At 39.0% G+C, this 24,864-nt stretch overlaps 1 protein-coding gene across 10 annotated transcripts in view; it reads left to right on the top strand.

The window, feature by feature from the left end:
- The window catches only part of AGBL4 (AGBL carboxypeptidase 4), a 1,501,444-nt gene that overhangs the window by 1,155,371 nt on the left and 321,209 nt on the right, over positions 1-24,864 (top strand). For 8 of the 10 annotated variants that reach the window (NR_136623.2, XM_017002595.3, NM_001323575.2 and 5 more), the window contains one exon: positions 1,354-1,393. Coding sequence is in view for 9 of the 10 variants with exons in the window: in XM_017002595.3 (XP_016858084.1) it covers positions 1,354-1,393 (40 nt within the window). In the remaining variant the exon portion in view is untranslated. Of the gene's footprint in view, positions 1-1,353; positions 1,394-3,411; positions 10,320-24,864 lie in introns of those variants that run through there. The other 2 variants (XM_017002598.3, XM_011542310.3) reach the window with 2 other exon arrangements.

The raw sequence follows: 24,864 nt of genomic DNA, 5'->3' as shown, positions 1-24,864 counted from the left end.
CATGCTAGATTATTTATATTCATTGCCATATTTTGGACTCTAGAGTCAGAATCAGAACTGACTAAATTTTAATCCTGACCCTGCCATTTAATGAAGATGTCTTGGACAGACAGTTTCTCCCCTCTAAATATCATGTCCTTCTCTCCTGTACAATTGCCAGGAGTATGAAAAAAATTGATACATCAAAGTACTTAGTACTGTGCCTGACCACAGTTAGTATTTTAAAATGTTTCTGCCTTCCCCTTTCTGCTTAAGCAGAATTTTAGGAAGCCATTCTTGGATAGAGGCAAGATAAAGAGGGAAATGCAGGGGAGGTAAAATATAGCAAGGCCTCCACTGCACAAAATACTAGGTGATTGAAAGCTCCTGCAATTTGTAATCTAGAGCAATGACTCTCAAAATGGAATTTGTTTGGACCTCTTTTAAGAAAACAGAAACAGAGATTTCCAATACTATTTAGGGAAAATCAAGTGTAGGAAAGAGAAAGAGGTCAGCAGGAGGACTGGGACTTAAGGAACCCTGACTCAAGTCTTTAGAAGGGCTGCTCACCACTTCACCAGCTGCAGCCTCCTGTACCCACTTCTCTACCCTCAGGTTTTCATGGCATCCAGTCTAGGACAGTAGCTGTGCTGTAATAGGGAACAGGCCTTTTGAGATATTGATCACCTCAGGCTTTGGGGTATCCAAGGCCAGTTGCTTCCAAACATAAGCTGCCTCATCCCTATAGCCTAGTGTGCTAGACAAATATTATTCTGTGTGAATATTGTGTGGTAAAAAAGGATAAGGATTCAGTTAGAAAAGGAATGGTTGGTCATCACTAATTGAAATTGTTATAGTATTATGAGCAGACTTAAGAATGAAACCAATCTAGAAATATCTTGGTTAAAAAGAAGTATCTGGAGGGTGGCAGTACAACAGGCACTCAAGGCAAAGAGCATTGCCAATATATCGGACACTCAACCAGTGCAGCCAGTATAAGCAAAGGGAAATCTAAAGCTATCTGGTACAGAAGAATGAGCCCATGACTGGGAAACTGGAAAGGGACCTTCTCTGTGGCTCTAGGTGAGCCACATTCTGCTCAGGGCCTCATTTTCCATAAGTATGGTATAATTTGTCTGAGAGACCTCTAAGCTCTAACCACCTACGCTTCCAAAGACAAACAAAAAGCCCATCCATCCCCCTTTGTCTCTAGGGTACAAACCCTCTCTGCAGAATTGGAAGTGAGTACCACATTCCGTATGATTTACCCTGCAGTATGTCCCAACATCCTCTTTGCTTGTCCGCCCTGACCTGCTAAGCACAATTTTGGCTCTGGCTCAAATCAGTGCCCTCACAGTGTGTTTTCTTTTGCAGCAACAACGAAAGCTTGACCTCCTGACGATAACCAGCCCTGGTGAGTAGGCGTGGCCCTTCTGCCTTTGCTTTTCCCTTATTTCTTGAATGATGCCTTGTTGCCTATCCAAATGCAATTCTTGCCCTTCTCTTTTGGCTCCCTGAATGAACGGCAGAACTCTTGCACCATGAATGATTCTTCTCCTCCCCTACCCTCTGCTCCACAGGCAGTTTATTTTCTCCCTGCCAGCCCTGTGCTGCCTCCTCTTGACTATGGGTGGCAGGGCTGATACTCTGGATGTTGCTGCATATTCTAGGGTCAAGTTCTCTCCAAATCACTCATTGGACCCACGTGTCAAGGAAGTCTCCCAGTCCCTGAGAAATAAGTTTTAGAATCATGTGGAATGGAGAATCTGCTTGGAAGGTGCCATAGAATGAAGGGAGGATGGCTCATAAGATTGGGCCAGTCTGGGAAAGTGAGCAGATTTGGTTGGCTGTGTAGAGGGTCAAGATAACTTTTGTCTCTCACTTTTAAGGGAAGGTCAGGTCCACCCAAAAAGCTGTGACCATGACCATGGGATTAAAAGGTCTTTTTTCCCCTCTATAGCTGACATCTGGCCTAGAAGAGGCTGAGCAGTTTAATTCTTTCAGAGAGGTATTTTACTCTGGTTTGGAAACTTAAGGCAAAGTTGGACAAAAAGAGGTACTGTTCTGTCTTATGATCATGGGGATGATGGTGCCAGCAGGGTTAGTGAGCATTTGAGAGTTGATGTGGTGGTTATCTTCATCCATGGGTGATATTCAAAATATTTAACAGCCATCTGCTATGCTAGGCATTAACACTTTGGTTACTGGACTGTGGGGAGTTGGGGTTCTGGAGGAGGAGCTAGTGTGGCACAGTGGTCATACGGCAGGTTTGTGGGTCTCAGGGGATGACTAATTACCAATACATTTGGATATGTTTCAATATATTAGTAACCAGCATGGCTGAACTCTGTCAGCCCTTCCCTCCACAAAGCCTACCATGCTGTATCCATGGGCCAGTGCCTCACTTTCAAAGAGACTGAGATATTGCCCTCTGTAGTCACTATCCTAGCAATTATCTGGTCTACATAACTAGGGTATAAAAAAGTGACTGCAACTGTAAGGTGCAGCCACTAGTTTGGGTGACCTTACTATAGTTCTATACCTGACAGAACTCTTTGAGCTTGAGACTTCTGAAGAATAAAGATAGAATTAGTTCAAAAAAAGTTTACTCTATTCCATAGAATGATCTACATTTAACATATATATGATTAACATATATAGAAATTCCAAATCCTGGGCTGACATGACTAGAGTGGCTCACTTGTATGACCTACCAATTCCTCCTAAGGTGGTGGTGAGGGATTATCTATGTCCGATACAGTTTAATTGCTTTTAATTGCATCCTGTTCTACTCCACAATACACTGTCCATATTGCCTGCTTCCACATCTGAGTTTATCAGGTCACACCCTGATATGATAGCTAAGTATGAATTGGAGAGAGTTGTTGATCTGTCTTCAGTTGCTTTAGGGGGAAATCTTCAGGCTCTGTTAAGTGCATTTCTTTTGTACAACCTCTTTCTGTTCCTAATTACTACTTCACAAATGCAAGCAAAGTAGGTGTGACTCTTTAGTACAGTCCATTTAGACAGCTTTGGGATTGAAAAAAAAATCAGCACTGCCGGAGTTTTGAGTGGTTCATTATTATCCCTCCTCTTAGATGTGAAAAGAATAAATTCTGAGCCAGGGCATCCCAAAAGGTGTGTTGTGGCACACTGGTGTATTGCAAATGGGCTATACTTGTGTGATATTGTGAGATACCGATTCACTCAGCTCTCAGGGACACAGGTAGGACCTAGCGCAACTGAAGCCCCCTAGGTGGTAGCTTCCACTCCAATGTGTCAGACAAATATTATCAATGTGTGCCATGACTTAGAAAGGTTAGGAAGCACCATTGGATCATGCTATTATCTGGATGACTCTATTCCATGTCAAAAGGACTTTCATTCACTATCTTGTGCTATCAAATTCACCCCCATTCTACATCTCACCAGGAGCTGCAGCAGCTAGGAATCAACTTGCTACCTTTCTTGCGCTGCCAGTAGGAGGTACTGGCTTGTCTGAACTCCTCCCCAGACCATCTTCAACAACAGAACTGCAGTGTGATGTGGCCAGTCATAGACTGGGAGCCTTCTGAAATGCTGACCAGGAATTTGAAAGCCTTAATCTGCTTGATACCTTCTTTAAAGTCTTATTTTGTTTATTGTGAATAATTTCAAATATGCAGAAAAGAGTAGCGATATAATGAACAGCCATTTATTGCCCCCATGCCAACCCCTTGGCTTTGTCATATCAACATGTGTCTTATATGCCAGAGTCACCTATTTTTGGACGAAAATTATAAATGTAACTGAGACTATTCTATACTCCTTCCTAATACATCTTTGTCCCTTCACCCTACAGGTAAGCACTGTCATGAATTCAATGTTTTTCCTTATCTTTGTATCAAAAAATGTAACTGGTATTGCTTTACAAATTCCTGTGGTATCACACTATCAATGTCATTCTATGACTTTTTCCCTACTCATGATTATATTGTAGAGATTCACTTATATTGAAACACATAGCTCTGCTTCATTTATTTTAATTGCTGTTAGATATTCCATATATGATTGAATTACAATTTATCCATTGTATTGATCAGAATTTAGGTTATTTATAGCCACTTGCAATTGCAAATAATGCTGCTTAGAGCATTTTTGTGCATGTCTCTTTACGTATGAGTATGAGAATTTCTCTAGGGAAAATGATTTATTAATTATATGCATCTTCAAATTAACTACATAATGACCAATTGTTTTCCAAAGTAATTGAACATATTTACTCTTCCAATAGCAGAATGTAAGAGTTTTCATTCCTCTGCAGCCTTAACACTTGAAATTGTCAGACTTATAAATTTTGCCAGTTGTCATGATGAACATGAAATGGTATCTTATTGCTGTTATAATATATGTTTCCCTAATTACTAATGAGATAGGGCATCTTTTTATATCTTTATTGTCCACTTTGGTTTCTTCTGTGAATTGATTTTTCATATCCTTTATCTGTATTCTATTGGGTTGTCTCTTTTTATTGATTTTTAGGAGTTTATTGTTCTGAGTATCAGTACTGTGTCACTTATATACATTGCAAACGTCTTCTCCCAGACTATGGCTTGTATTTTTAAATTTTTTCCATGATGTGTTTTGATATATGCGAGGTTTTAAAAAATTTTTTTATGTAGTTGAATTTATCGATCTCTTGTTTTATAGGCTTTACTTTTGTGGCTTATTTAAGAAATCCTCCCTATCTAAATATCGTATTCTCCTGTATTTACTTCTAAAATTTCTCAAGTTTTGTGTCACACTTGGGTCTTTACTTGTCTCATTTAGGACTGATCTTTGTATATGAAATAGGAATTTATTTTTTTGTGTGTGTATGGATAACCCATTGTCTCAGCACCATAAACCACTAGTCTATATTTCTACCCATTAGTAATTACACATCTGTCATCTATCAATTTTACTATATACAAAATCTATTTTCTTCTCGATACTATTGCATTGGCCTACCACGCTTAATTCTGCATCGATTCAACATTGTCTTATTTATAATAAATTCTAATTTTCATATCATCTTAATAATTTATGGGGAAATACCCTTGGACCTTTGCCTTTCATGCTTATCTTTTGAAAGCAACAATTAAATTTTTAAAATACAGTATAATAATCCTTATATTGTGACAGGTGAATTTAATGTATTTTCATTTATTATAATAACTAATATATTTAGACATATTTCTACCACCATATTTGTGTTTTCTGTTTATCATTCACTTTATTTCTTTTCTGCCTTTTAAACATTTTTATATGTTACCTTTTTTATTGCATTCTCTGTGGATTTGGATGCTATCTATTTTATTTCTAACCTTAACTGGTTATATGTGGGTATGTACTTAGCTATACATTTTCTTACAACAAAGTCTACAGTTACTGCGACTTTCTAGCATTCTTTCAGCCACATAAAGGCCTTACATGCTTTAACCACCTATTGAACACTGTCACCTAGTTATTCTTGTTTAGACTAAGTTAAACTTTTTGGAAAAAGGAAAACAATGTATTATTATTATTAGCTCATTGACTTTTCCTACATAGTTTATGAATTTTTGCATTCTTTTGTTTATTGTATATCAAGCCTTTCCTATATTACCTTACCAAAGTGCATTCTTTAATAGCTATTTTAGTGAGAGTCCATGGTAACCCTCTTAATCTGTATATATTCTTGTTTTGACTTCTGTCTGGAATGATAACTTGGCTGGGTATAAATTTGAGTTTGAGGAGGATGTTCCTTTGAACTTTAAGGATTTTTTCTTTGTTTGGAGCATAATACCATTTATATAAGCTTAAAAGCATGCAAAACAGCAGTACATTTTGGGGATAGTGATGTAACCAAAATGCAGTAGTGATGTATATGTGTAGTGATGTAACCAAAATGCAGGTTCAGTCACTTGCCATTTGCAGAGTCCAGTTAACAAAAATGAAGTCTGGTATAAAGAAAGTGACTTTTAGTCTGGGCACAGTGGCTCACACCTGTAATCCCAGCACACTGGGAGGCTGAGGCAGGCAGATCACGAGGTCAGGAAATAGAGACCATCCTGGCTAACACGGTGAAGCCCTGTCTCTACTAAAAATACAAAAAATTAGCCGAGCGTGGTGGCGGGCGCCTGTAGTCCCATCTACTCGGGAGGCTGAGGCAGGAGAATGGCGTGAACCTGGGAGGCAGAGCTTGCAGTGAGCGGAGATCACCCAGCCTGAATGACAAAGTAAGTCCTGTCAAAAAAATATAAAAAATTTTTTAAAGTGACTTTTAATCCCAAAACTATCTTAGGGGAAGAAGCCGGCACTTTTAAAGGAGAATGGCACGCAGGGGAGGAAGTGAGCAGGTTGGGGAGGTCCATGTGCTAGCTCTGGTGCCTTATCAACCGGGCAGTTGAGCTGGTGACTGCTTGTGCCTTCATGGGCAGCAGTAGGCTGAAAACTCCCCAGGTGGGAGAGAGTTTTATAGTGGGACTTTGAGTTATGAATCAACTGTGATCTCTCAAGGCAGTCTCCTGGTGGGAAGGAGTTCCTTGTTGGAGCTTCTAGGCACATAGTTAGATAAATTTGCCCTGTAAAGAGTGTCTGGTGAAGGGGTGGTAAAATATTATATTTGCATTTCTACAGGGCTAAGTAGGAAGTAGGAAACCAGGGAAATGAGAAAAGAAGAGACAGAGAGAGAAAAATAAACTATCTCTTAGGAAAATGGGGGCACACCATTACAATCAGTTCTCCACTGCCAAGTTCCATTTCATTTTGTTGGGATTTGGTTGTCACCATATTCATTCTGGCTACTCCCTGCTGAAAGGAGGCATAGTCATTGGGTGTCAGAATGAAACTGATCTATTTGGAGTTGAAAATATTGATGAGTACCAAGACTTATAGATGATAGTTGTTGCATTATGGTAAAAGGTCTGGAAAGTCACTGGGAAAGCCTGTCTTGCATTCCCATATAGAGGATGCAACAGCAGTAGAATTCACAGTGGAGAAGTATGCCTATTTTTTCATTGTCTTCTGGGATCCATAGTTGCTGATGAGAAGTCTGCCATCATATAATTGTTTTGGTAACCTATTTTTTTCTTGGGCAGGTTTCAATATTATTTTTTAATCTGAATGTTTTGCCTTTTCACTTTGTTGGGTCTAGATGTGAATTTATTTTTATTTATCCTGCTTGATACTCTGAGTATACTTTTCACTTAAGATTCTATGTCTTTCTTTAATTTAGGGAAATTATTGGCAAATTAACTCTTCAAATATTGCTTTTATCCTTTATTCCTTTGACTCTCTTCAACAATTTCTATTGGACAAATGCTAGATGCTATTAAGCAGCCCTCCATGGTTCTTAATTGATTTTTCATAACTTTTATTATTTTTGTCTTACTGCACTGATTTTGAATTCCTCACAAGTAACTTGCATTTATAAATTCACTTTTGACCATGTCTAGTCTAGATTTTTTTCTGTCTCTTTCAATATTTCAATGACTATGTTTTTTCATTTCCAAGATTTCTAATTTTATTCATACCCACCTGTTCTTGTTTTATTTCTGCCTGTTCTGTTTCATAATTTCTTGTTCAGTTTTAATGTCTTCATTTGTTTCTTTGAACATCCTCAATATGCTTATTTTAAAATCTTTGTTCCATAAAATAAGTTTCATCTGGAGGAAATTCAAGTTCCAATTGTTGATTTTGTTTAGTATCATTTTTAGCATTCGATTTCTTCATGTGTTTTGAAATTTTAATTTGTAAGATCACTTTGAGAAGGAAATTTTCTGGTTTTCTCTTTTCTCACCCCTCAAACTCCCACTGTGTTCACATCTCCCTGTGTGATGGTTTTTGCAGTTGCCTCTACCCACATCTTCAGTATAGGACCTGGGGAATATTGAGTATATTGCAGATTCAATGACAAAAAGTTAACAGAACCATTGCATCTGGTTCCTGAGTCTATATTCCTCACCTCTCTATACCTACAATGGATGAGAGCTATCTCCCAAAAGTTATGCAGCAGCCTTTTTTTCTAGGCTCCTTTCATGACAGGAGAGCCCCACCCAAGGTCCTTGCTCTAAGCAGAAGCTTATCTCTGATTCCCATCTCCTGTAGTGTACTTTTAGTCTCCCTTATCCCATAGGAGGCAGACGTCCAACTGCTACTGTCTTCTTCTACATTCAGATTTCAGCTAGCCAGTAGCCCCAGAACCACTTACCCTTTTGCATTTCTGTACATTTGAGCTTTGTGGTGATGTCTCCCACAATGGAGCCCAACAATATAGTTTCATTTCTTTTTTCACATATTATCCAATATTACTATTTGATGGGAATAAATGGGCTTATTGAAATATGAACTTATTTAGTCGTTTGGCCCAGAAGTTCAACTACAGTTTCTTCTTTACTTTTTAGAAAGTTGATTTTCCTATAACCTCGTCAGTAGAAGGGAGGCAATATGAGGAAGTACCGTATTCTTTTCCTGTCCAGGTAAAATCCTTACCAGCAGACTGAGGAGAGAGACTTATTTTTTGTCCAAGTATACACAGTTGTAGATATAATTTTTAAAATGAAATTTGAATGATACCATATAAACTATTGTTATTCGAATGTAGTGTGAACATCTTCCAATATTATTTAATATTCTCTAAGAGGGAATCTTATATGGCTAAAAAGCATTCTATTCTATTTTTAATTCCCCTATTGTTGTATATTATTACTGTTGTTGTCTCCAATTATTTCATTACAAATAACACCACGGTGAGCATTCTTATATAAAAATTTTGGTCTATATCTCTAACTATTTCTTTAGGAAAAATTCCTAGAATAAGAATTACTGAGGAGAGGTATACATCATTCACTAGTTGTGACACTGAAGTAACAATTACATCAAATTGCAAAAGCTTAAAAAGCAAAGGCTTATTCACTCTTGGTACATGTCCCTTTTGGACTGCAGCCAGTTATGCTTTGTATCTTTTGTGTTCTAGCAGCCAGGCGGAACAGTCATCCTCTATTTGTAATATCACTGGGTGTCTTAGTTGGGGTTCACTAAGAAGCAGACCTTTACACAAAGACTTTAGTGCAAATTGGAGGTGATCCCAGAGACATTGGTAGAGGAGTGAGGAAGTGAGACAGGAAAAGAAAAAAAGCCGAGAAAGATTCATTATCAAGCAAGCTACCACAGAGGGCAACTGGGACTTAATCCCACTGGAGAGCCCATGGAACCAGTGTGGAAAATAAGCTACATAGTTATACTTCTCAGGGACAAAGGAGCAGGAGAGAGGGTGGAGGTGTTGATTCCCTGACACTTCTGATCTGCTCAATGTATGCAATGACCAGATTCCAATGGGTCAGAGAAAACCTTCGGGATGGATTTGCAGGTGTTGCCAGTTGGAAGTTATTCAACACATCCAGAAATAATAAGCTGGGAAAATAGGTTGGATTGTGGGGAGGCCTAGCATTTGCCATGTTAGTCATTGTGACAGAGGGAAAAGGGAGGGATGAGGAGCCACGACTCTCCCCTTAAAAACTCTTAGAAGGCGTCACTTCTGCCTAAATATCCTTGATCAAAGCAAGGATTTGAATTTATGGTCATATGACCATAAATTCAAATGGGTAGATATGTGCAATCTTCCCATAGGGAAGTGCACTGCAATGAGGATGACATGAATATTTTTCAATGACTAATATACTTTATCATACTTTTAGAAAGATTTTTATATTCCCACCAAGTTAAAAGTGCTGGTCATACCTTTTTTTAATAACAGCTTTATTGAGATATAATTCACATGCCATAAAATCCTCATTAAAGTGATAATTTAGTGGTTTTCAGCATATTTACACAGTTGTGCAACCATTACCACTACCTAGTTCCAGAACACTGCCATCACCCCAAACATAAACTCCATACCGACTGGCAGTCATTCTCAATTTCTCCTTTTCCTGACCCCTGGCAACCGCTGTTATAACTTTCTGTCTCTATGGATTTGCCTATTGTGGACATTTTATATAAATCAAATCATACCATATATGGCCTATTGTGACTGGCTTTTTTCACTTACCACAGTGTTTTCAAGGTTCACCCATGTTGTAGCATGTATCAGCATACTTCATTCCTTTTTCTTGCCAAATAGTATTACATTAGATACACCACAATTTATTTTTTCATTCATCTGTTATTGGACATTTGGGATGTTTCCATTTGGGGATTTTACGAATAATCTGCTATGAACATTTGCACAAAAGTTTTTGTGTGGACAGATGTTTTTAATTATCTTGCATATGTACCTAGGAATGGAATTGCTAGTCATATGGTAAACTTTACAATAAAGATTTTGAGAAACTGCCAAACTGCTTGACAAAATCATTGCACCTTTTATATTCCCATCATCAGTGGAGGACAGTTCCAGTTTCTCCACATCCTCTCTGACACTTGTTATTATCTATCTTTTTATTACAAACATCCTAATGGGTGTAAAGTGGTATCTCATTGTGGCTTTAATTTGCATTTTTTCTGATGTCTAATGATAACAAATGTATTTTCATGTGCTTATGGGCCCTTTGTATTACTTCTATGGAGAAATGTCTATTCTAATTATTTGCCTTTACCCATTTTTGATTGGACTATATTTGTCTTTTTATTGCATTTAAGAGGTTTTCAGAATATATATTCTGGATACTATTTTATCAGATGTATGATTTGTAAATATTTTCTTACATTTTTATGTGCTGTCTTTTCACTTCTTTATTGTTGTTCTTTGAAGCAAAAAGTTTAATTCTGATGAAGTTTATCCATTTTTCCTTTTGCTGTTTATGATTTTTATATCATATCTAAGAAACCACTGTTTAACCCAAGGTTCAAAATGTACTCCTATGCTCTCTTCTCTTTTTTTTTTAGACAGAGTCTCACTTTGTCACCCAGGCTGGAGTGCAGCGGTGCGATCTTGGCTCACTGAAAGCTCCACCTTCCGGGTTCACACCATTCTCCTGCCTCAGCCTCCTGAGTAGCTGGGACTGCAGGCGCCTGCCACCACACCCGGCTAATTTTTTGTATTTTTAGCAGAGATGGGGTTTCACTGTGTTAGCCAGGATGTTCTCGATCTCCTGACCTTGTGATCTGCCTGCCTCAGCCTCCCAAATGCTGGGATTACAGGCACGAGCCACCTCACCCGGCCCATACCTATGCTCTCTTCTAAGAATTTTATAGCTTTATCTCTTAAATTTAGGTATTAGATCCATTTTGAGTTAATGTGTTTATATTATGTAAGGTAGGAGTCTAACTTTACTCTTTTGCATGTGGCCAGCCAGTTTTCACAGAACTATTTGTTGAGAAGACTATTCTATCTTCATGGAATTATGTTGTCCATCTTGTCAAATTGTTATAGATATTTGGTGGAGTAAACTAAAGGAAAAGCATTTAGGAATGTCTACTCAGAGTCAGAGCTAGGTTAAGCCCTTTATATATATTTTCCACATAAATCTCCCTGTTATACCATAAGGCAGTTATCTTTCCTGTTTTGCAGAGAAGCAAAACAAGCTGCTATGAGATTATATGAACTGTCCACGTGAACACAATTAATAAGTAATGGAATCAGGATTCAAATCTAAATCGTATTCTAAATCCTTTGTCTTTTTCACTGCTGCATAGAAATATCACTTCATCTGTGATATTATCCCTTTCAGTCCTCTTCCCCAGACAGAATTCAAGCTGACCCACTTTTCTAGGCATAAAGAAAGCCTAGAATGTCAGGGACATGATAGTCACTGGGTTTTTTTCACTAATGAGGCTGTGTTCTGAAGATACAATTGATTTCCTAAAATATGATAGAAACTTCCAGAAAAAAATCACAGCTAGGTTTATTCCGTACTGCAAATATTCACAAAGTTCTTTATCCCCTCTTAACCTTGTTAAAGCAATACCTATTTTAGATGGTGATGGACTGATCCTGCTTCCCAGTACATGACAACTCTGGGCTTTTTCTCTAATTAAAGTCTCCTATGATTTGAACTCAGCCCTTCTGAGACTAAGGGAACAAGAGAGGCCAAACTAGATACTGCCTTATGGCCATTTTCAGAGCCAATATGAGACCTGCAGAGCCAGTCTAGCAGTATAGTGGTCTAACAGCCGAGGGGCTGTTTCAAAAACTGCATACACATCATTAAAACAGCTTTAAAATCATCTTTAGAGAAGAAAAATAAATTACTCCTAATCCCACAACCTTAGCACAATACAAAATCGAATTCTATTTTTACATTTTCCCTTTTAGTTCTTGTCTATATGCAGAAACATATTTACATAATTGCAATCACAGTAAGTTTTATATACATCTTTTTTCACTTAACATTATTTCATAAACAATCTCCATGTTGCTATGTAGTTTACACACCATCTTTTTATCATCACTTTCTCTATTAAAAAATTGCACATGCTCATTGTACAAATTTTGAGAAACACAGAAAATTTATAGTGATGAAAATATCAGTTATCTCCCAGAGGCAATGACTATTTAATATTTTAGCACATTTACTTCTTTGCTTTTTTTCTCTGCATGTATAATTTTGTTTTACATAGTTGAGATCATATAGAATATAAAATTTTCTATTGATTTTTCACTTAATATTACAGCAGAAATATTTTCCCATGTCAATAATGTTGGATATTTAACTTGATTCTTGTTTCTCTACCTTATGAATAATTTCTCAACCTCTGCATGTATGTTTTTGTCTATATTTTGGTTTATTATCCTAAAATAGATTACTAGGGATGGAATTACCAGATCTATGAGCATTTTAAAAGTATATTTATTCTTAAAGTCTCTAGTATGTTCCAATTTTTATCTGTAGCCTTATTTGCAAAAAAAAAAGTTCTATTGTTGTGCATTATGTTATTTCTAGATGTTTTGCCCTTATAAATAACTCTACCATAAATTTATTTGTGCAAAAAGCTTTTTACTTTTTTATATTAGTTTTTTACTGGATATTTTAGAAATGGAATTTTTGGGTCAAAGACCATTAATATGTTTAAGGAATTATTGGGCTTTATTGCCAACTCATTTTCCGGAAAGATTGTACCAATTAATACTCCCACCTCCATCCCCCAAAAAACTCCATCTCTCAGGTCAACAACAAAAAACATCACATTGGTGTTACTCGGACGATTAGTTAAACCTGAATAAAGAAACTTCAGAATTTGAGAAATGCATAAAGGCAGGGAGAAGCATACATGTGCTTGTGGTCTCTGAGAGACAAACTAATTAGTATGTTCCTAAGGTATTTGTCCTGAGAAATCTATGAAAGATGCCGTTATTCCAGGGCTCCAGTGAAGGGATTGATCACTGGGAAGGGATCAGGTGTCCCATTTTGGAACATCCAGTTGAATGGACTGAGTTCTGGGAAGGTAGGGCATCGCAAGGCACCATAGCTGATCATCATGAGGGAGATCAGGTCAGGAAAGAACTGGTTAAGACCTTCACTATTAGGCTGAAGGCAGGCCTCAGGCCTAGAGGAACTTGAATTCAAGACACAAAAGCTAAATTAAATTAAGGCACAGGGACTATATAAGTAGGATTCTTCAGTCCAAGCCTAAATTAGCTTAAGCAAAAATAGAGAACTCATTGGTTCTTGTAAATGAATAATCCACAAATAAATCTGACATCTTGTGCATCTTGATACAGGGCTCAAAGGACCCAATCTGTTTTTCTCCTTCTCTTAACTCAACTTTCTCAGTATTAACACCATTCTCAGGCCACATGTGGTCTCACGATGGCTGTAGCAGCTGCAGACTTTACATTCTCCCAAATTCTACTCCTAGGAAAAACAAGAGACTCACTCAGAAGTCCTAGCAGAATTTTTTATCACTTCTCATTCTGTGATTGAGTCATAATGAACCCATCTTTGAACAAGTATATATGTCCAGGAAAGTCTGTTGTGCCGATTGGCTGAGAGGTGGCTCATAAATACCACCCCTGAAATTGGGGGATAAACTGGGGCCTGGCATTACTTGAAAATGGCCCAAATTTTGCAATATTGAAATTTTGCAGTGACTATCTCTGTGGCCATTTTAAGCCAAGTATATGAATTATAAAGCCTGAGAGCAGAACAAACATGGATCTGTTCTGCTTCACTCCTTGTATCCAAAAAATTAAGGCTACTAGAGGCTCCACAGCTAGAATCTCTGGGCAGTGAAGGGACTTATCATCAGGTGGTTGTAATATCTTGGACCTAAGGAGGGCTTTTCTGATTAAAGCCAGACCCATACCAGTGACCAAGGATCTTGGGAGCAGGCAGCAAGCCCTGGGGAGAGCAGACCACAGAGTCTAGGAGCTATGATTAACAGATATGGAGCAGGATGCCAGCCTTATTTATGAATCAAGATCATGGAGTAAAAGATTAGGAACCAGGTAGACCTGGGTTCCTATCTTGATTCTGCCACTTCTTAGCTCCCTGTCCTTATGAAAGATGTTAAACTGCCTTGGGGCTTAGTTTTTCATCAAATATGAATGGTGGCACCTATTTCATAGGGATGAAATAAAGATTAAGTGAGGTAATCATGACAATAAATCCCCTAGGACTTTATTATTAACATGTAAATGTAATGCATGTTAGAGGCTATGAACAGGAGCTCTGTTGATAACACCAGGCCTTCTGCACAATGAGGTTTGAGAGGAGATAAGAGCTCATCTAACTTTAGCTGGGAGGATGCTGGTTCTCATTGGTTCAGGGATGGAGGTCTAAATCCACAGGCTGAAGGTCTGCAGCAGCATAAGTCTGTCTCTACACTTATGGGGCATCAGGGAATATCTCTTGTAGGCCAGTGTAATGTGCTGTGACCTGAAGCAGTGCAATTATAGTCAACCTAGCCCAGCCATGAGGTAGACAGACCTCATGGGAATCTGAAGGATAAAGGAAAAAACGATCAATTTTGTCATTGTAATTGATTTGTAGTACATACATATGTTATATGTTCGAATCCTCTCTCTTCTGCTTTCAGTTTGGCCTTAGGAAGGCCTATTAAGTTTTCAGTGCCTTACTTCCATTTTACCGTTTATAAAAAAGCAAGATAGTAATAATACTTCTTAGAGTTTTGTGAAGATTAGATGTGATGTATGTAAAGTGGCTAATGTAGTAAAGTACATGACCCATAGATTTTAAATAAACAGTTATTACTGTGATTACATTGCTGCATCACAAATTACCCTAAACCTCAGCAGTTTCAAACATCAATAGATGTTTATTATCTCACACAGTTGTTGTAGGTCAAGAATCTGGTAACAGCTTAGCTGGATGGTTTTGGCTTGGGGTCTCTCATGAGGTTATAGTTAAGATGTCAGCCAAGGCTGTATCTATTTGAAGGGTTGAGTGGGGCTGGAGGATCATCTTTCCAGATGACTCATTCCTATGGATGGTAGGTTGGTGCTGGCTTTTGGCAGGAGACCTCAGTTCCTTGCCACATAGACTTCTCTGTGGGGCTGCTTGAGTCACAACATGGCAATTGACTTCCTTCAGAGTGACTAATCCAAAATAGGGCAAAGTAGAAGCTAAAATGTTTATTATGATCTAGGCTGAGAAGCCATAGCCTATCATTTCTATAATGTCCTACTAGTTATGTAAGTCAGCCCTATTCACCTGGGAGGAAACTAGACAAGGATGTGAATACTAGGAAGTTAGATTCATTCAGGGGCATCCTGGAGGCCAGCGCCAAAATGATAATGATGATGATTATGATTATCAGTATTACTTCTTTGGTTCCTTCAGACCCACTTATCTTTTCTCATTTCTCCAAGGATTTTCTTTTTCCCAAGATATGGCTTTTTGAGATTGCCTAGCCTCGCTTTTTGAGATTGGCAGAGATTTTGGAGAAAGGTATTAAGAATAATCTAGCTACATTTTTTCCATGAATAAACAGCTAAATTTGTCCATCTACACCTTCCTATCCTAACGTAGACCTAAAACTGTAAGAATGCTTGTTTTGGTAGTGAAAGTGTGAAACATTTTCTATTTGCTGGACTAAGAAAAGCAAAATTCTCTAATTTAGGAAAAAAGGTTATGTGCCCCAATGTCTAGTTTCCAGCTTATATCACAGTTCTTTACACACTTGGCAAATGAGTGTGGGGCTGCTACTGAATTCAGGCAAGTGTGATCCAAGTACATACATTAGGAGTTCCTAGAGATTAGGACCCATGGGCATGTCACGGAGGGTGGTACACATCCTTCATGCTCTGGTCTAAAACATCATCAAAGACAGTGAGGAGGATAGGCTAGAGGAATATGGGCATTTGGTCTTAGCAAGATTTACTGACCTGCCATTACTGGTGCTTACCCAATACTACTGGGACAAAAGAATAGAGTCTCTATCTCAAAAAGAAAGAAAAGAAAAAGAAAGTCTAAAATGCAGTGGAAACTTTGAGATCAGTTAGGCCAGGGTTCAAATCTTAGATCTGCCATTTGATCTTGATATGATTTGGGGCAAAACACTTAATTTGTCAAAGCTTCAAGTCTTTCATCCCTAAAATAGCACTAATAATATTGACTTCATAGGGCTGTCATGAGCATTAGATAAGATAAAGTAGGTATCTGAAAAAAAAAAAAAAAAAAAAAAAAGTACGTATCTGGCACATACCAGAACCTTGGAAATGCTCATGTTGTTATGGGAAGTTCTTCTCTGAGGATGGTCACCACAGATATCTCTTTTTTTGTTTTTTATTTTTCTCAATAACTTAGCCACAGGATATTAGGTCATTCTCTGACATGCCAATAGGCTCTATGTTTGGCATTTGCCATGCAATTTCCTCCTGTCCAGATGGTTGCTGAATAATTATCTTAAAAGCCTGATGCACTTCTCTCTAGAAACTGAAAAAATGAGGGAGGATCAGCCCAACCCAGATGAAGTCCGTTCTTTGATGGCTGGCTGGATGTCCTTACAAAGGATTTCCTTTCTGGTAAAGATTATACAGAAAACTGGCTTGTTAGAGAAGAGTTCTTAATTGCATTAATGAAAAGAAAACTGGTGGTTTTCAGCTATTTGTAGGGGAAATAAGACTTCCTTTTTTGTATCAAGGGCCATTTAATGAGTTTGTCAGGTGGGCTCAGTTCCAGCCTTAGACGGTGCATAGGGAAGCATCTCATATCACTTGATGATACTGTCTTAGAGGCCAGGTTCCAATTACTAACCCCCTTCCATGCTCTGGCCCCTGCCTATGTTTTGTTCCCTCAGCTAAACCAGCAGAGATTGTTTCAGAAACATGCTCGTGTTGGTCCCACTAAGTCCTCTACCCTGACTATGTTTTTTACTCAAAATCTCTTGGATCATCCTTTCCTTCCTTCCTAAAGATGCAGAGGAGGGGCAACCTAACCACTTTCTCTCCACTGGGTTTTTGTTGCTTTGGGCTATTTAGTTCACTGAAGCCCAGACATGGGCTGCTGTGTAAGTGTTCTCACTACGGATAAGGGCTCTGGTGCCACAGGACAAATATCAAAAAGTGTTTTAAAAAGGTATCCACTGCAGGGGGCGATAATAATAGCGCAATAATGACAACCACTACAAGTGGTTTTCATATAGCACATTACAATGGACAAGGTGATTTTTCAACCAACATTTTGCTTAAACAGCAAAACAACCATATGAAGTAGGCATCTGAGTCCTATTTTTGCCATTGAAGCTCAGAGAAATAAAAAGATTTGTCTATGGTTCACATGGCTTCTAGGTGGAAAAGTCAGAGTTTGAACCCAAGTTTTCCGACTCAAAATCCAATGAACTTCTGATTTCTCAGCTGCCTTCCTAATCACGGATGCTGGTTCATCCAGAGGTTGCTGAGATATTAGAAGAAAAACTGAATGGGTGGGAGGCTGAGGCGGGCAGATCGCTTGAGCCCAGGAGTTTGAGATCAGCCTGGGCAACATGGTGAAACCCCGTCTCTACAGAAAATTAGTCAGGTGTTGTGGCACATGCCAGTAGTCCCAGCTACTTGGGAGGTTGGTGTGGGAGGATCACCTGAGCTTGGGAAGTTGAAGTTGCAGTGAGCCGAGATCACACCACTGCATTCTAGCCTGGGTGACAGAGTGAGACCTAGGCTAAAAACAAAAACAAAACCAAACAAAAAAATGAATGGACAAATGAGCCATTTACTGCAGAAATGAGTATTGGGATGAGATAGTCATGGGGCCTGAGACAAGAGTCTGGCTACAGAAAATTAGGCAAAAAGGTCAGAGCAAATGCAGACAGCAAACCTTACCCACCAATTTACTAACCCAGTACTTCTTCCATCTGCTGTCCCTACCCTTACCTGACCACAAAGCCAGAATGATTCTGGGATCTGACAGCTGCAAACAGGGCTAAGTCACCTCAGTTGAAGGGATGGGTTGCTATAGTGCCTGGGGCCTAGAGCCAAGCAGATCATCACTACTTGTTGAGTTTAGGAATCCATTGATAGGTAAAATCCTCCATTTGTTCTCAAAGTATAGTCGGTGAATCATTTGTAACAAAATTACCTAGAGTTTTTATTTGTTATTTCAGGCTAGTTAACCACTGAAGCCCAGACAGGGGCTGCTGGGAGAGTGTTCTCACTATATGTGGAGTCTGTGGTACCAAAAGACAAATATCAAAAACTGTTTTATTTTTTATTTTCTTATTTTATTTTATTTTTTGAGATGGAGTCTTGCTCTCTCACCCAGGCTGGAGTGCAGTGGTGCGATCTCGGCTCACAGCAACCTCTGCCTCCCCGGTTCCAGCGATTTTCCTGCCTCAGCCTGCCAAGTAGCTGGGACTACAGGCACATGCCACCACACCCAGCTAATTTTTATATTTTTAGTAGAGACAGGGTTTCACCATGTTGGCCAGGCTAGTCTTGAGCTCCTGACCTCAAGTGATTCGTCCACTTCGGCCTCCCAAAGTGCTGGGATTACAGGCGTGAGCCACCGCCCCCAGTCTCAAAAAGTGTTTTAAATAATTATGTAGTGAGTGAACAAGAAAAGGGTGACTAGTATGATTGTCATCCTAGAAGCAGCAGATAAATAGTGAGAAGCAGTGAAGGTGGGAGTGAGGAGTAGATGGTAAGAAGCAAAGGAGAGGTAGCTAGAACACTGTTACTCAAAGTGTCATCCATGGACTGGTGCCAGAGTGTAAACTGTCCACAATGAGATAAATATAGAAATTGAGAGAAAGCATTTAGAAACTTTAATAGCAGTTTTACATTGCTGCAGCATAATATTTATGACCAGCATACTTTTTCAAAATGTCAGCTTATGATGAATTGGAAAGAGAGAGGCACTGTTGAAACATCGGCCAATATATAAATGCAGTTGTATGCACTCTTTATACATGCTTGTACCAGTGCTTTAGGTTTGAAAAAAATAAAGGCAAAGGCCAGTTTTTACCACAAGGCCTGGCACATAGCAGGGGCTTAGAAATAAACTTAATAAGGAGGCCATTTTCGTCTTAGTCAGCTATCAACCTAAGTCTTGCAAAGGATGACCCATTCCACCAGCCTGAAGTCTGAAGTACTGCTCCTGCCTTCTTCATTATTTTCCTTTCCACATCTGGCTGTTCTAGGCAGGTTTAACTTTTGCAGAAGCTGGGGTTCCCCTCCCAGCCCACCTGGAGCCTAAGTGGTGTTTGGTAAAGTTTAAACAACCCCATGTAGGGTGGTTGAAAAGCAATCTCCATTTCTTTTGAATAAGAAGAAGAAAGGGGAAAAAGGTGCTGCCATCTTTCTTTTAGTTGCTCATTAGGATTCTGGGTTACAGTGATGTTGCCTGGCCACTCTAATTGGATCTGTGCGCACACAGGTCTGTGCGGCTCCATTGAACGTTGACATTTCTAACTAACTGACCTTTTCAGGACCACTGGTACTCCTATAATGAGTGTGCAGCAGCATTTTGTGGACACAATACGGCAGACTTCACAGTGCCCAAAGAATGCAGGATTGAAAACTATTCAGAATTCCCAATCTCGAGTTAGCAAAATGAGAAAATTGGATCCCAACATTCATCAGCATGTTATTTTGCAGGTATCGATTTCAATGCCCTTTCATTTCTTTCGGAAAAAAAAATGTTGTATTATAGAGATCTAAATTAACTTTTGTTCTGTTATTTTTCCCCTGTACCTATAAAAAGGTCAAATGCATTCATAAGGCCGAGATAGATTTGCCAGATATAAAGCACTGAGATAGCAATCAACCTTCAAATAACCTTTAAGGAGACATTGGCTCTTCCATGAACAATAACTGATGTACTCATTAAAGCCATGAAATACTTTATGGCTTCACCTGAAGAACAGTTATAGGGCCAGTGGCAAAAATATGTCATTTAGAACAATGAGATAATGACTCAGACATTGAAATAGTTGTAGTCCGCCCATTAAGTCACTGGGACAGTAAGGGAACTTGGAAAGGAAACTGACATGATGTGAAAGGGGAATAGTGGTTTTCACCGTAGCCTGCAGGGACAAGATAGGCTGAGCCCAAACAGGAAAGAATATGATTTCTCAGTGTCCCCTGGCTTCACAGTAGAAAATTAGAAACTTTTTTTTTTCTTCACATAAATGCTGAAGGAACATAATGGATTTATTAGGGCCACTTTCTTCCCTCTGAGAAAGAGGGTATGGAGCAGGAAGCAGCTACAAGTGGCAGTTCTTCTGATGAGACAATGCCAACAGTGAGTGGGTGTGTGGCCCTTCTGCTAATGTTCCTTTGAGAATTATGTTTTTCTATTAATGTGTACCAATTCTAGAATCAGGCCACCATAGAACTATATTCTATAAGCATTTATGAGCACAGACTGTGTACCAGGTTCTGTGTTTGGTACTGAAAGGGATGTAAAAAATCATTTAATTTCATTTCAATTGAACTAAGTTTAATTCAACCCAATACATATTTCTTAAATATTTGTGTTCAGAACTAGATATAAAGAGATAAAAAAGACACCGTCTCTGTCCCCAAGACATTTATAGTCCAGGACTCCTTGTACTCACTTTGAAGATGAGAAAAGGAATCAATACTGAGGGTCTCCTTCAAAGTACTTTACTCTGCTAGGTACTATACGTTTTATTGTCTAAATCCTAGTTGCCATCTTATAATTGTAAATATCAAATCCTATTTTAGAGAAGAAGAAGCTAAGATTTAGGTTGTGTGATTCACTCAGGATCACCCAGCTGAGATTCACTCAGGATCATAAGTGGCTGAGAACGCCAATTCTAAAATACAGGCTTTTTTTTTTTTTTTGCCTCATTTCTTTATGAAAGTGCCTTCTTTGACCTTGGTTTCAGCTGCTCACACAAGAGTGGAGAAGTTTCTGGTAGAGTAAGTTTTTGTTTTTGTTTTGAGACAGAGTTTTGCTCTTGTTGCCCAGGCTAGAGTGCAATGGTGTGAACTCGGCTCCCTGCAACCTCCGCTTCCTGGGTTCAAGTGATTCTCCTGCCTCAGCCTCCCGAGTAGCTGGGATTACAGGCATGCGCCACCATGCCTGGCTAATTTTGTATTTTTAGTAGAGACGGGGTTTCTCCATGTTGATCAGGCTGGTCTCGAACTCCCAACCTCAGGTGATCCACCCCCCTCGGCCTCCCGAAGTGCTGGGATTACAGGCATGAGCCACCAGGCCCAGCCAAGTTCGTTTTTTTGTTTTTGTTTTTGTTTTTGTTTCAACTGGGTAACTTGACATGTGCAAAGGGATAACTATATCTTATAATGAGAAAACCACAACACTGTAATCAATGCTCTCATTAAGGTTGGGTAATACTTTAGGACTTCTCAAAAGAAAATGATTGTAGGTTATTTTATGTTGTTCAAGAGTAAAAAAAAAAATACATGACACATGGACTGCCAATCACTTATCTCATATACCCATGACATCAGTAAACTCTTTCCTGCTGAGCCTGGATTCATTTTCAAAACCTCTCTTACACAGTACTCTAGCCACTCACTATTCCCTTATATCTGCATGTGAGATAAAACCTACTTACCATGCCTAAACTGGTTTGTTTCACTTTGGATATGAAGTAACTGAGCCCAAGAGGAGAAAGGGCGTGCCAAAAGTCATGAAATAAATAAATGGTAGTTAAATGAATTATAGGCAATGAAGCAATATAAGAGGGATATCTAAGGCCTAAAGCCTGAAACAGAGGGTTAAGGTCAGTGTGAAGCAGGCAGGAGGTACTTGTGTCTTGATACCCACTATTTATTTTGCCTACTATAAATGAATTTCTTTCTTTCTTTCTTTCTTTCTTTCTTTCTTTCTTTCTTTCTTTCTTTCTTTCTTTCTTCTTTCTTTCTCCTTTCTTTTCTTTTTCTTATCTATCGATCTATCTATCTGTCTATCTATCTATCTATCTTACAAATCTTGAGTATTTAGCATGTAGCAGTACTACAGACCCATAATAACCCAGGTATAGCAGGCCCCTTTCTTTTAAAGTACAAATGGTTACCTTCCTATACTTATGGGTGGGACAATCAAGAAATTTAGTCTAAATGATGTGTTTTGGGCCTGAATTCTCTCTGATGATAGCTCCCAGGTTGTGGCTCTCACACTGCTGATAACCAGAAGAGTTTATACCCTTTAAGCCAATACTCTCAAGGAAGTGGGACAAGTCAGACCTGTACCTCCCTGGACTTCCTACCACATTGGCCTCCACTAGACCAGATACTTCAGCCTATGCTGTGAAAAACAGTGATAACACATAACACTTATGAGTACCTACATGCCAGGCACTGTTCTAAGTACTTTTGGTACATTAACTCACTTAATCTTCACAAAAACTTATATGATTAAATACCATAATTGTTATCATTTAACAGATGAATAAACTGAGTCTCAGAGAGCAAATAACTTGCCCAAAGTTTCATGGCCTGTAGCAAAGGTGGAATTTGAACCCAGGCAGTTCGGCTCCAGAATTTACTCTTAACTGCTATACTCTACTGGCATATAGATGCTCTTTACTTAAAAATTAGGAAAATCTCAAAAGGTTGTTACAGGAGGAATAAAGGGTACAATGCTAGCTAAGTTAGCTATGCTTCAGCTCTTGGGGTGGGAGGTAGAGAACTCCATATTTAGGCTTTTGCAAAGAGAGTGATTAATACCTCTGGACTTTACTCTGAATCCCCTTAACTTCCCTCACCCACATTTCATGCAGGCATCTCTTCAAATCTTCCAGTGTGGTGAGCATACTGTGCTCCTTCAGAACAAATCTATTGCTCCTCACTGGAGGTGCATTCATACCGCATTCTGTGTGAAATCCTTCAGGCTGCAGCCTGATGACTACTGCTATTCATGTTTGTTCAGACCTCTCAGTTTCTGGAGGTAGATTGAGTCCTAGGTCAGTGAATAAAGTAAATGTAAGTCACCTTGTTCCGATTAGAGCCATGGAAGCTATGAGGCAGGTATCTGTCACAGTGACAAGCACTTTTCTCTGATATGATGTAGCCTTGTTCCCTATCTGAAAAAAAAGCTAATTTTTTGATCAACATAGCTTTGACCTTACTCTTTAGGACTGACCAACCACCCTCCCCACTATTGTTCCAAGAAATATTCACTTCCTTCTGCCTCTCCTTGGGACTGGTCCTAATACAAGAAAAAACATACTAGCTGTCCAGAATTACATCTCTACTACCCAGGAAGAATTCCATACACTTGTGCTGATGAATGTGTTGCCTGTATGTTTGTTTACCATGAGATTGTTCATTGTAGTCCATCTTCCTCTGGTAGAAGCATAAAGGAAAGAGGTCACTAAGCAGGGACAGGACTTGAAATGGGAATTTATCCTACCATACAGAGATGAATCAGACATGTCCCTACCTGCTTCAAGAAAAATATAATCCATATGAGGTATAAATGAGAAATGCATACTGTGTGATAAGGGTCACTGTTGACTTAAATATATAAGCCATAGTGGAGGCAAAGAAGCAAGAGATCAACTCTTCTTGAAAGCATACCAAGAACGCTGACAAAGGAGGAAATGTCAGTTGGGTCTTTAAAAATGCACAGGAATTCACAACACTGGAGATGGGAGAGTGTTCTAAGCAAAGGAGAAGGCATATGCAAAGGATGAAGTAATACTAAAAATGGCTGGAATAATAAGGTGTTTATCAATCTTTGTCTTTCCTGTTAACAGGGCATATGACTTTGCACATGAGAGCTCAGTTAGTGCATGCGTTTCAAGAACATAGTAATCACTGGTGTCAAATAAAATTTTTAAAGCATCATTGATTTTAAACACAAAGAAGTCATTGTAGTCAGATGGGAAAGCATGGATACCAGATTGCAGAGGAGTGAGAAATCAGTGAAGGAGAGATTGCACGTGGAGACTACGCTTTCATGAAGCTTGACTGAGAAGAGATGTAGGACTGAGGGATAGCTTTTAAAAAAGCTGAGAGGGATTTGAACATGTTGATTAACTGTGGGTTAGGTCTTGGAAGCAGAGGAGGAGATGTTAAAGATCCTGCAGTGAGAGGGCATCAGGGCAGAGCTAGGGCCCAGGAGGCTGGAGCAGGTGGGTGCCAGAGCACAGAATTCACCATAGATGGATAGACAACCTGACAAAGACCAGCATGGCTGGTGTTGGGGGGCAGAAGGAGACTAATACTGAGCTCTACAGCTTAGGAATAACACTATTTCACAGGACAGATGTGAGGACTAAGTGCACTAAGACTGTGAGGAGTGCATGGCTTATAAGAAATATAATATTCAATATATGTAACCAAAATGTGGGAATCAGGAAGAAACAGAAGAGAACTCTGAGGCTCAGTTTGACCCATTGAGTTTACCCATTCTGTTGAGAGAGAAAAGTTCTCAGCATGGAGGGAAGTTCCAGTTCTATTATCTCACCAGGACTCAAGGCAAGTATTTCACCTCTCTCAGTCTCGGTTTTCTCATCTATAGAATGAGAAGTTTATACTAGATCATTTCAAAG

Source organism: Homo sapiens, chromosome 1, assembly GCF_000001405.40.
Source record: "Homo sapiens chromosome 1, GRCh38.p14 Primary Assembly".
Lineage (NCBI taxonomy): Eukaryota > Metazoa > Chordata > Mammalia > Primates > Hominidae > Homo > Homo sapiens.
This window is presented reverse-complemented; position numbering and strand designations above follow the sequence as displayed.